This window comes from Homo sapiens, chromosome 6, assembly GCF_000001405.40.
Source record: "Homo sapiens chromosome 6, GRCh38.p14 Primary Assembly".
Taxonomy (NCBI): domain Eukaryota; kingdom Metazoa; phylum Chordata; class Mammalia; order Primates; family Hominidae; genus Homo; species Homo sapiens.
In genome coordinates, this window is record NC_000006.12 from 27561801 (window position 1) to 27574335 (window position 12535).

The 12535-nt window shown below is 41.1% G+C and overlaps 1 non-coding gene across 1 annotated transcript, besides 3 other annotated features; it reads left to right on the forward strand.

Annotated features, from left to right (window-relative positions):
• Window positions 270–564: a silencer, noted in NCBI's record as "tiled region #7994; HepG2 Repressive non-DNase unmatched - State 21:Repr". NCBI's record gives its function as "represses a minimal TATA promoter and a strong SV40 promoter by Sharpr-MPRA in HepG2 cells {active_cell/tissue: HepG2}" and the evidence as "EXISTENCE:reporter gene assay evidence [ECO:0000049][PMID:27701403]".
• On the forward strand, window positions 384–470 carry TRR-TCT5-1 (tRNA-Arg (anticodon TCT) 5-1). The gene is given in 2 exon segments: window positions 384–420; window positions 435–470. It is a non-coding gene; the product is annotated as a tRNA-Arg (tRNA).
• Window positions 4056–4105: an enhancer, noted in NCBI's record as "active region_24293". NCBI's record gives its function as "activates an Ori minimal core promoter by ATAC-STARR-seq in GM12878 lymphoblastoid cells {active_cell/tissue: GM12878}" and the evidence as "EXISTENCE:reporter gene assay evidence [ECO:0000049][PMID:35858748]".
• Window positions 4136–4295: an enhancer, noted in NCBI's record as "active region_24294". NCBI's record gives its function as "activates an Ori minimal core promoter by ATAC-STARR-seq in GM12878 lymphoblastoid cells {active_cell/tissue: GM12878}" and the evidence as "EXISTENCE:reporter gene assay evidence [ECO:0000049][PMID:35858748]".

The following is a 12535-nucleotide window of genomic DNA, read 5'->3' on the forward strand; positions in this document are numbered from 1 at the left end:
GCACGCAGGGCAAGGTATGGGAGAAGGGACGCCGAGCTTCCAAGCACTCTCTGGGCGTGCCACCCTCCAGAAACCTCCACATGTTCAGCTGTCCGGAAGCTCTCCAATTATTCTGGAGACGGAGTCTCGCTTTTTTTTTTTTTTTTTTTTTTTTTTGAGACGGAATCTCGCTAAATTATTCTTTATTTCTTGGCACAAGTGAAAATAGTTATTGAAAGGCTCAGTAACTCCTCCGTGTCAGGGATTGCGTATCCCTTGTGTTGTCTCATTTTTGTGTTTATTGAACTTTCACGGTGACTGGAGCAGAATGTTTTCAGGAGACTTATTATATGAATAGTCAAATTAATTAGCAACCTCAGGACAAAACGGGGGGAGCTCAAGCAGGCTCTGTGGCGCAATGGATAGCGCATTGGACTTCTAGCCTAAATCAAGAGATTCAAAGGTTGCGGGTTCGAGTCCCTCCAGAGTCGCATGTTGCATTTTGTGATCTGAGTGGATACCTGTACCAGTAATTTCTCCTTATATTAATTAATTGGACGTTTTTCCCAGTCAGCGAATCCCATTTTCCTGTAATTTATTTTCTGCTTGTAGTGTTAACATCTGAGGAGCTTCTTCAGAAACGTTGCCACATATAGACGTCTGCAGTCACTAGATGACCAAATCAAAGGGAAAATAATAAAAGTTGGATATTAAAATGAATACCAGTAACTGTTTCTTCCTTATGAAAAACAACTTTCTGGGGCAGATAAACTTATTGTTATCCCAGCCTCTGCTTGAGAATTGCTGGCAGATGTTCTAAACTGTGCCTGTAAGAATTCTGCAGCTTCCATTTGGAAACACGCCTGTTTTCTAGCTGGTGAAAACTCAAAACTCAAGTCTGCTCTTCATCTCATCCTGAACCTCAATAAGCGATCGTTGGTAGTGCAAATATTTCAGCTCTAAGAAATTAATTAAAATTAAATTCGCTTTTAAATGAAATATTGTGGATGAGGGTGTCCAGCACCGATTTTGATCCAAAACAAAGATCGGTAAAAGTCCTCCCCCACCCAATTGTACAAATAGAGCTGGAAAATGTCTCCTTTTCATCCTAGAACACTACTTCCTTAATTTCCTCCACTGGTGCCTAGTTTCAAGTATCCTGTGCATCTTCCCAGAAATTTTATATGTATGTTAACATTAATAATATGTAATATATTTCTGGGAAGATGCATATATATGCATATATGTATACACACATATATACATATATAGATGTATATCTCCACTCATCTTTGACTGAAGTGATATCATTTAACATATGTAGTGTTATTTCATTCTTTATATGAATTACATAATATGCCATAGCATGGATTGTATCATTATATTACAAACACGTCGCACCTTAAATCCAGATTGCCTGCCATCAGGTGGTCTGGCCCATTGTCACTGACAGTTCTTGGAAAAGGCTCTTCTGTTTGTGGAGGGTGAGAAATAGAGGAAAGATACCTTCTTGTCGACCACAGACCTGCTGTATTTCCAGCAATGCCTGTGCCTGGCATGCTCCCATGTGGAATAAAGAGAGAATTGATCAACCTGTGCCTTTGCTTGCTTAACAGAATAAATCCCCCAATAAAGCCCTTTTTAAAAACCATGCCAAGCCGGGCGCGGTGGCTCACGCCTGTAATCCCAGCACTTTGGGAGGCCAAGGCGGGTGGATGACGAGGTCAGGAGATCGAGACCATCCTGGCTAACACGGTGAAACCCCGTCTCTACTAAAAATACATTAAAAAAAAAAATTAGCCTGGCCTGGTAGCAGGCGCCTGTAGTCCCAGCTACTCGGGAGGCTGAGGCAGGAGAATGGCGTGCACCCGGGAGGCGGAGCTTGCAGTGAGCCGAGTTTGCACCACTACACTCCAGCCTGGGCGACAGAGAGAGACTCCGTCTCAAAAACAAACAAACAAAACAAACAAACAAAGAAACATGCCATTTGACATGGTGGATTTTCCCCCCACCTTGCACAACAATTTGGAAATGATGTACCATTTCACTAAGATCAGCTAATGTCATGACTCACCATATGTAGAATATTTATTATCCACTACATACTCCTCTTCTTATGATATAAATTACATCTAGTCAGGTCAGGCAATGAAAGGGGTTGTGATAGATTCGCAGCTTCTTACCCCTATTTATTCCTGTATAGAGTTCTCAGTAAATTATACTCTCTTACTCCAGCTGCAATGCCAACTTTATCATGTATTAAATTTACACATATGTGCAGATGATTTCTGAGCTCTCTGTTCTATGACATTTTGTTTATCCTTGCACCAACAATGCATGCTCTGAATGTCTTGAGACTTCTAATAAGTCATGATACTTAGTGTGGTAAATGCCACTATCTTTTCCTTCTTCAAAATTCTCTTGACTGATGTAATCACCCGGCTCACATTTTCTGTTTCTCTTCTCTCAAATATTACAAGCTGGCATTGTGTTTCCAAAACACTGGTATCTAAGAGCTGTATTATATATTTTTTCTATTTTTCTAATTTTTTTATAGCCGGGGGACAATTCTCCTAGCAATTCATTTTTCACGAGTGGAAGCAGAATTTTCATTTTCAAAAAATGCACCACGGGCCAGGCGAGGTTGCTCATGCTTGTAATCCCAGCACTTCGGGAGGCTAAGGCTATTGGATCACTTGAGCTCAGGAGACTAGCCTGGGCAACATGGTGAAACCATGTCTCCACTAAAAATTCAAAAATTAGTTGGGCATGATGGCACATGCCTATAATTCCAGTTACTTGGGAGGCTGAGGCATGAGAATTGCTTGAACCTGGGAGGCAGAGGTTGCAGTGAGCTGAGATTGTGCCACTGCACCACTCCAGCCTAGGCAACAAAGCAAGACTGTCACAAAGAAAAAAAAAAAAAAGCACCACAGAGATCACCAATTATTTTGAATATCTCATAGTATTTTGTTAAATTTTTTGATTACTTAATCTGACTATCTTAATCAATTGATTAATTTATTTTTATCTATATAGCCTATTCCCTATATCATTCTTTTTCATACGAAACCATTCTAATGAATTAAGTGTTTACATTTTATGATAATGTTTTCTAGAAGAATATGTAATGATATTTTGTGCATGTCTTTTTATATTCTATAAATTATATTTTAAGTACATATCATTCCATTTCTGACTTTTCCCACAATCATCATTATTTTATTTATCTAACATTTAAATGCCAAAATCAATACCTCATAGTATATATCTGTGATGATTAATTTTATGTGACACCTTGCATGGACCACAGGATACCCAGATTAAGCATTATTTCTGGGTATGTCTGTGAGGAGATTTCTGGATGAGATTAGCACTTTTTCCTCACCCTTTCTCAGATCTCTGCCAGTTAGGCCTAAATTGTCTAAATCAATTAATTGTCTAAATCAATTAATAATATCAGTTACGCATATTATTTAGGAAATTACAAGTCTGTAAATCCAAGAAGAAAAACAAATGTTAATTTCATTGGCATCTACCTAGGGTGACGTAAGAAATCAGGGGACAGTGAGGCTTATGTATTTCACAGCAAACCTTCTAGTAATACTGTACATTTTAAACTACTACAGGGATACTAAAGGAACTTCTAGTGAGACATACAGAATGCATTAGTTTTTATTTTTAATGTTGGGAGTACTTATAAAGATGTTACAAGGTAGGAAAAAACCCTCAGGGATAGTTCTCCAGGACAAGTAACAGTAGGGGTATCGCCCCTGTATAAGAAAAGGCATGGGGATAGTTTAATTACTTGAACCCGGGAGGATAGAGTCTTGAGCACTACCTTAAAAGGAGGTGTGACCTCCAGTGAAGGAGTGTGCCCATCTGTTACCAATAAATACCAGTTTACAGTGACTCTCGGAAAGGTTGTTACTGTGCTTTGTTAATGACCACTAAGGCAAGTCTTACCCAGAATATGCAGGATAATATGAACAATTGTTCGTTTTTCTGGTCGAGTTACATTTATCTCTTGTCAGAATTTTAATGCGAAAACGAAGAACAAAGTTTTACATTCTTAAAATGTGATTTCTTTCCGTTGTTGATTGCATTACACGCTGCATTCCATACATGGCCACTAGAAGGCAAAGGTCTTGAAGGTGGAGTTAGAAGAGCGGTCCTATTCATGCAAGGAATGTCTGCCCTTGTCTAGAATGATGTCATCACATTGATTGGCGTCAAGAGGGGACATCAGTCATATGGGCCTGTTGGCGCTGTGAGGCAACGGTCTCAAGAGTCCTCGAGAGAAAGAGAGGTGTTGCCCCTCCCTGGGGACAACCTGACACTAGGTGTGGAGCCAGTCGCGGGGATGGGCGACCGCCATGGGGCCAGGGGCGGAAGTGGGGATAGAGCACAGGGTATAAAAGACTCCTGCTACAGCTCCCCCTCTGCTGTCGGGTGCAGACACGAGGTAGCCTCCAGGTGACAACACGGGTGGTGAGAGCCGCCGCATGAATCCACACTGCGGCTGAAGGTCAAGAATTGGCGGTAGCCCATCGGTAGCCCAGAGACCCAAACTGTGTCCGATGTGAGTGAAGGTCACCCCAGATCAGTGCGTCAGTTCCGTTTTGGCGGCCAAATTTCTGACGATCCCATGTAAGAAATGCCACACCTGTCAATAGGAGCGACTCACGCGCTGGGTCTCTTTCTCGGATCGGGTCGCCACCCCAGTGCCGGGACTATGCTAAAGACTAGAGTCTCAGACTTGGAATTTCGAGGAAGGTGTTCCAAAACGCTGCGCTCCCTCCGGCGAGGGACAAGAGCAGGAGCCTGGCTTGCCTGGGTCCAAGGACAGTAGCTGGGAGGGGTGTGGCAGCCGCTTAGCTTGAAATCTTTCAGATACCCCACCGAAATATCATAAAGAGCACAAAGAACTTTTACGTAGGAACAAAATAGTGAATCTACAACACCTTAAACGCCTGATAACTTCACAATGCATGCCTAGGAAACCAAATAGCAGTCAAATGGAGTTAGTCCCCAGAGAAGAGGAAACGCAGAGGAATCTGATAGGGAGCAGGCTTCAGAAATATTGAGCTGCCTCTCTCTTCTAGAAGGAGAGAACCAACCCTGAGCTGAAATTTCTGCAAATAGAACTGAGATTATACCAGACAATGTCATGGCTGAAGGAGGGTAGGAAAGTTTATAAAGTGCTTGTGTTGCTGGGCACAGTGGCTCACACCTGTAACCCCAGCACTTTGGGAGGCTGAGGCGGATGGATCACCTGAGGTCAGGAGTTCGAGACCACTCTGGCTAACATAGTGAAACCCCGTTTCTACTAAAAACACAAAAATTAGCCGGCCGTGGTGGTACGCGCCTGTAGTCCCAGGTATTGGGAGCCCGAGGCAGGGGAATTGCTTGAACCCAGGAGGTGGAGATTGCAGTAAACTGAGATCATGCCACTGCACTCCAGCTTGGGCAACAGAAGGAGACTCCACTCCGTCTCTTTAAAAAAAAAAAAAAAAAAAAAAATGCTTGTGTTTGAATTGGTACTTCGTCTTCAAACATCAAGGCAATACCATTCATTACTTTTGTCCGTAAAAAGAAGTCTAAGTATTTCAGAGCTGTGGGCAAAAACCCTCCAGACCTGGGCTAGGTTTTGAAAGCCAAGAGAAGCATGATTGCAGAGGTGCCAGCCTCAGGCTTTTATTGAAACAACACAATAGAGAATCTTTGACATCTGAAGTCTACACAGTTACCCTGCCTTCTCTGCTCTCACAGGGGCCTATGCTACCAGTTCAGGAAAATGTGTCTCACTTATATCTGAACAGAAAATGAAGTATGCTGGGCCGGGCGCAGTGGCTCACTCCTGTAATCTCAGCATTTTGGGAAGTTGAGGCAAGAGGATCACCTGAGGTCAGGAGTTCAAGACCAGCCTGGCCAACATGGTGAAACCTGATTTCTACTAAAAATACAAAAGCTAGCCAGGTGTGGTGACGCACACCTGTAACCTCAGCTACTCAGAGGCTGAGGCAAGAGAATCACTTGAACCCAGGAGGTGGGGGTGGCCGTGAGCCAAGATGGTGCCATTGCACTCCAGCCTGGGCAACAGAGTGAGACTCCATCACACGCACACACAAAAGAAGTATGCTGGTATCCACGGATAGCTGCAATAAAAATAAATACAAAAATTGCAATCTGATCTTTCTATATACAAGTTTGCCCAAAAATATGGCTACAAAGAAGAATATAAAATAACATAATTCATGATTAATTTATAAAAAATTATAAGAAGGTATGAAAGGAAAATAAATATCAGGACCCCCAAAATCACTAAACCAAGGGAAAAGTCAAGCTGGGAACTATGTCAGGGAAACCTGCCTCCCGTTTTATTCCTGAATAAGATAGGTACAAAGATAAGAAGGTACATACCTTCCTCACAATTTGCCCACAAGGAAATTCCTTGTGGACAAAGAACAGAGAGAACTCAAAGTCTCCCTCTGAGGCTCACCTGAGACACGTGTAACTGATTGCTTCATCTGCCCTATTGTTTACGTAAAAATGCAGATTCACTGAGCCAGACTAAATTGTGTTTTCAGCGGAAGGCTTATCAAGGACTCAGAATAATGCAACCTTTTGTCTCTTACCGACTTTTAACCCCCTACTTTTAGTTGTCCTGCCTTATCAGACCGAACCAATATACATCTTACACATACTGATTGATGGCTCATTGTCAGAGGCATTGGAACCAGAGCCACTCCCTCTTGAATACCGGCTGGGTGAAATAAGGCTGAGACCTACTGGGCTGCATTCCCAGGAGGTTCAGGCATTCTTAGTTACAGGATGAGAGAGGAGGTCGCCACAAGTTACAGGTCACAAAGACCTCACAGATAAAAGGATGCGGTAAAGAAGCCGGCCAAAACCTACCAAAACCAACATGGCGAGGAGAGTGACCTCTGGCCGTTCTCACTGCTCATTATAGGCTAATTATAACTCATTAGCATTCAAAAAGATACTCCCACCAGCATCATGAGTTTACAGACACCATGGCAACCTCGGGAGGTTACCCTATGAGGTCTGTATGATCTGAGGAACCCTCAGTTCCGGGAATTGCCCACCCCTTTCCAGCAAAAGTCATGGAATAATCCACCCCTTGTTTAGCATATGATCAAGAAATTACTATAAGAATAAGCTGCAGAGCAGCCTATGCTGCTGCTCTGCCTATAGAGTGGCCATTATTCCTTTACTTTCTTTAAAAACTTGCTTTTTACTCTATGGACTCGCCCAGAATTCTTTCCTGCACGAGATCCAAGAACCCTCTCTTGGGTCTGGATTGGGACTCCTTTCCGGTAACATCATGTCTCCCTAAAATGTATAAAAGCAAGCTGTACGGCCGGGCACAGTAGCTCACACCTGTAATCCCAGCACTTTGGGAGGCTGAGGCGGGCAGATCACCTGAGATTGGGAGTTCGAGACCAGCCTGACGAACATGGAGAAATCCTGTCTCTACTAAAAATACAAAAAATAAAAAATTAGCCGGGCATGGTGGTGCATGCCTGTCATCCCAGCTACTTGGGAGGCTGAGGCAGGAGAATCACTTGAACTCAGGAGGCAGAGGTTGTGGTGAGCCGAGATCGCGCCATTGCACTCCAGCCTGGGCAACAAAAGTGAGACTCCTTCTCAAAAGAAAAAAAAAAGCAAGCTGTACTTCGACTACTTTGAGCACATGTCGTCAGGATCTCCTGAGGCTGGGTCACGGGTGTGTCCTTAATCTTGGCAAAATAAACTTTATAAATTGATCGAGACCTGTCTCAGATACTTTTGGGTTAAACAGAAGCAATAATGTCTATAAAGAAAAAAACACAAAGCAGAAACACAAGAATTCAGGAACTACATTGCCAGAAATAAATATTTCATGACAAGAAAAATAAAGACTGTGAAACAGAAAATTACGGAACTCATAGAGACAAAGGAAAAAAATATTCAGGATTGAAGACTAAAATTACAAAAAGCGCAAGGCGGGTACCACTGATAACATGTAAGTGGATAGTAAGAATAGATATGAAAAATAGAAGAACAACAAAAATGTAATCAAATTAATTATAAAAATAATTATAGATATAGAGCAGGTGTTGATGATCTACAGCTGTGGACCAAATCAAGACTACCGCCTATTCTTGTGTGGCCTTGAGCTAAGAATGTTTTTTCTATTTTTAAATGGCTCAAAAAATGAAAAGAATTTTATAACGTATAAAAATGATATAAAATTTTATTTTCAGTTTAAAATTCAAATTAAGCTTTATTTAAATAAAGGTTTTTGGAACACAGTTGTACTCATTCATGTGCTATTATATTATATGTTGCTGCTTTCATACTACCCTTCTCAGTGCCAGAGTTCAGTAGCTGCAGACCATATGGCCTGCAAAGCCTAAAATATTTACTATCTGATCTTTTACAGAAAAATTTTGCCAACTACTAATGCAGAATATAGGCAAGGGAGATTTTAAAAATACACGGATGTGTGGAGGGACTTGGTGGCTCACCTCTGTAATCCTAGCACTTTGAGAGGCCAAGGCAGGCAAATCACATGAGGCCAGGAGTTTGAGACCAGCCTGGCCGTAATGCTGAAACTCCTTCTCTACTAAAAATACAAAAATCAGCTGGGCATGATGGTGTACGCCAGTAATCCCAGCTATTTGGGAGGCTGAGGCAGGAGCATCGCTTGAACCCGGGAGGTGGAGGTTGCATGAGCCAAGATCTCGCCACTGCACTCCAGCCTGGGCGACAGAGTGAGACTCTGTCTCGAACAACAACAACAACAACAACAACAAACCCACATAAATGGAATTCCCCCCTCCAAGATAAGAATTATTGAAACAGAGCAGAATTTGCACTACATGATAAAATATTCATAATCTAAAAGAAAATTTGAATATATCTATTGAAAAATCACAAAGCATACCAGAGAAAATTGATCTCAAATAGGATAATTTCTAGTATTGTTATTTGACTTTGAAGATAAAAAAATATTTGGGTAGCAGCTACAAATGTCAAGTCAACACCAGGGGAAAGAAAATCGTATTGGCATCTGATTTCTCTACAACAGCATCAAATACCTAAAGACAGTAGAGCAACACCTACTATACACTTAAGGAAATATAGGGTGAATAAGGGGTTGTATATATTCAGATAAGCTGCATTTTTAAGTCAAATATTCAGGATAAACCACTTAAAAATGCAAGAGGTCAGGATATATTGATCACATAGACTTTCCTTCAATAAACAACTACACAAAGTATTCTAGGCAAACAAACAAACAAATAAAATGACTGGGGAAATTACAACAAAAGAATTAACATGGGGCACTGAATATATTAAACTGCAGATTACCAAAACACTGAGAAAGATAACAGTAACTAGAGAAAATGTAAATGGTATATGCTATGACAATATAGAGATGATATAACTAAAAATTTGAAGGAGTATGGAGCAATACTGCAGAATTTAAGTTCACTGTACAATCTCTAATAACTAAGATAAAAAGTATTATTTAAGAGTGACAAATATTCTGTGCCTATGATTATTTAACTGAACCAAAGCAAAGAGTGAGAGACACTAAAATTTGGTTGGAAATAAGATGGAAAGAAGGAAAGAAGAGAAAGCAATCCTATCCTATGAGTTAGTTCCAATAGAAACCTGAACAGCCACCCTTTAGAACAGAGCTCTGCTAAGAGCTGAAAACATTGTGAGTAATGTTAGTAGTCAATTGCAACAAAGGCAAATGCCTTTGAATGATTTCCCCTGGCTCTTGATGTGTGGATAGATGGATAGATGTTACCAATACTACTTAGTTTACTTGATAATAGGGAGTGCTAACTTTGAATTTCAAGTAACTGAAACATTATTCCCTCCAAAAGAATCTCATTCTTTTCATTAGTAGGCCTATACTAGAAAAAATGTTGCTCAATTCTATAGTTATATTTTAAATTTTGTTAACAGTGTTGTTTTCTCAGCTGAGCGTGGTGGCTCATACCTATAATCCCAGCACTGCGGGAGGGCAAGTCGGGTGGATCACCTGAGGTCAGGAGTTCAAGACCAGCTTGGCCAACATAGTGAAACCCTGTCTTTACAAAATACAAAAATAGAAAAATTAGCCTGTCTTGATGGTGGGTGCCTGTAATCTCAGCTACTCAGGAGGCTGAGGCAGGAGAATCACTTGAACCTGGGAGGTGGATGTTGCAGTGAGCTGAGATTGCGCCATTGCACTCCAGCCTGGCCGACAGAGTGAGACTCCATCTCAAAACAAACAAACAAACAAATGTTGTTTTTTCTCTTACAATATAAAACTTACAGAATACCGTTGAGTTTTCCTCTTGACCCATCTGATCTTTTTACAGAAAACATTGGCTGACTCATAACATAGATCATGTTGGACTAGGGTAATATGAAGTAGGGCAGGAATAGTTGAAATTGTCAGCTACTGGAATTTGATAACATTTCTAGGAACAAGAATATTTTACCTTTTAGAGGAGTTCGTTTGGGGGACTTGAATTCAAACTCCTGATATTTGACTCAAAGTTCTCATGGTATTACTTCTCTACATTGTTTCAAAGTAATATTCTGGGTATTCTATCTGAGAAACAAACAAATTTAATTAAGCAGGCAAAACTAAGCAAACAAAACACCACCAGATCACCAACCACACACAAAATAGGTAAAATTAGATACCCGACTGCCAATTGTTGCTTATAATATTTATATTGTCTTTCTTGGGAAATGAAAGCCTCTGAAAGCTAATAAATACTAGTATGAAAAATGACCAGTGCATGAACTTCTTTCACCTTAAGTCAGGAAACCATTTGTGATAGGCTGAATAGTGGCCCCTCACAGATGTCCACATGCTAATCCCAGAAACCTGTGAATACGTTACCTTACATGGCAAAAGAGATTTTGCAAAGTAATTAAGTTTAGGATCTTGAGATGAGAAAAGTATCCTGGATGATCCAGTTGGGCCCAATATAATAAAAGGGAAGTCAAGAGTGAGAGAGAGAGAAAAAGAATATGTGACGATGCAACCAGAGGATAGAGTGATGTATGGGCTTTGAAAATGGAGGACTAGCCTGGCACGGTGGCTCACACCTGTAATCCCAGCACTTTGGGAAGGCATGGCAGGCAGATTACGAGGTCAGGAGTTTGAGACCAGCCTGGCCAACATGGTGAAACCCCATCTCTACTAAAAATACAAAAAAATTAGCTGGGCGTGGTGGCAGGCACCTGTAATCCCAGCTACTTGGGAGGCTGAGGCAAGGAGAATCACTTGAACCTGGGAGGCAGAGGTTGCAATGAGCCGAGATCACACCATTGCACTCCAGCCTGGGCGGCAGTGTGAGACTCTGTCTCAAAAAAAAAAAAGGAAAGAAAGAAAGAAAGAAAAAAGAAAATGGAGGACTGGGCCTTGAATCAAGGGATACAGGTGGCCGCTAAGAGCTGGAAAAGGCAAGGAAACAGATTCTCTTTTGAAGCCTCCAGGAGGAACAAAATCCTGCTTGATCTTGGACTTCTGACTGTATGAGAATAAATTTGTGTTAAGTTACCAAGTTTGTGGTAATTTGTTGCAATAGCAAAGGAAACAAATAAATGACTTATTACTCAATAGTGATTATAAAACAAAGAGAGAGGTTCTTCCTAATCCAGGGTTTCCCAGTCTCAGCACTATTGACATTTTAGGCTAGATAATTCTGAGTTGGTTGCAGATGCTGTCCCATGCGCTGTAGAATGTTTAGCAGCATCCCTGATAACTAATCATTAGATGCAAGTAGCACCCTTCCTCAGTGTGACAACTGGAAATGTCTCTAGACTTTGGCAAAATCACTCCTAGTTGAGAACCACTGTTCTTGTTCTTCTGCCTCTCACATCTCTCTTATCTTAGAATATATCACATCGATCTCTTTACTTCACCCACCATACCACTAGGCCGGTAGAGTAAAGTGATGGGGAGAAGGTATGTGAGGAAGGAAAGAAAAAGGCCAGCAGGTGAAGAAAAAGAAGAAGGTCTGGTGAGGACAATGGAGACGGTAAGACATGCAGAATTATGGAAGAATTCTCAAAATGCCTGCCACTTACTCTCACAGAGAAGTTAAAGGACTGAAAATAGGAACTTATAGTCCTCTCCTTATCTATATTTTAAGACCTAGATTTTAAGACTGAGCTATTACTATTATTCCATGTAGAAATTTGTAAATATGTAATTTTTATTGAAAGGACAGAGGAAAGAAGAAAGAGGGAAAGGATTTCTAAACCACACTGGTCCAAAAAGAGCTGAAAGAAGGGCAATGTTCTAATGATAGCCTGCTTTATTCCAGCTGCGCTAACCCAACCTTTCTGGAAGCCAGGCATATGGCAAGATTTGCTGCTTTCTTGGCCTGCCCTGCTCAGGAATGTAGCCTTTTGCTTTCCTGTGGGCAAAGCTGAATTTATTGATTTGTTCATTCATTCATTCATTCTTTCATTTCACAAATATTTGTTGAATGCATAGCCAGGTTCTGATTCTGTAATTGGTACCAAA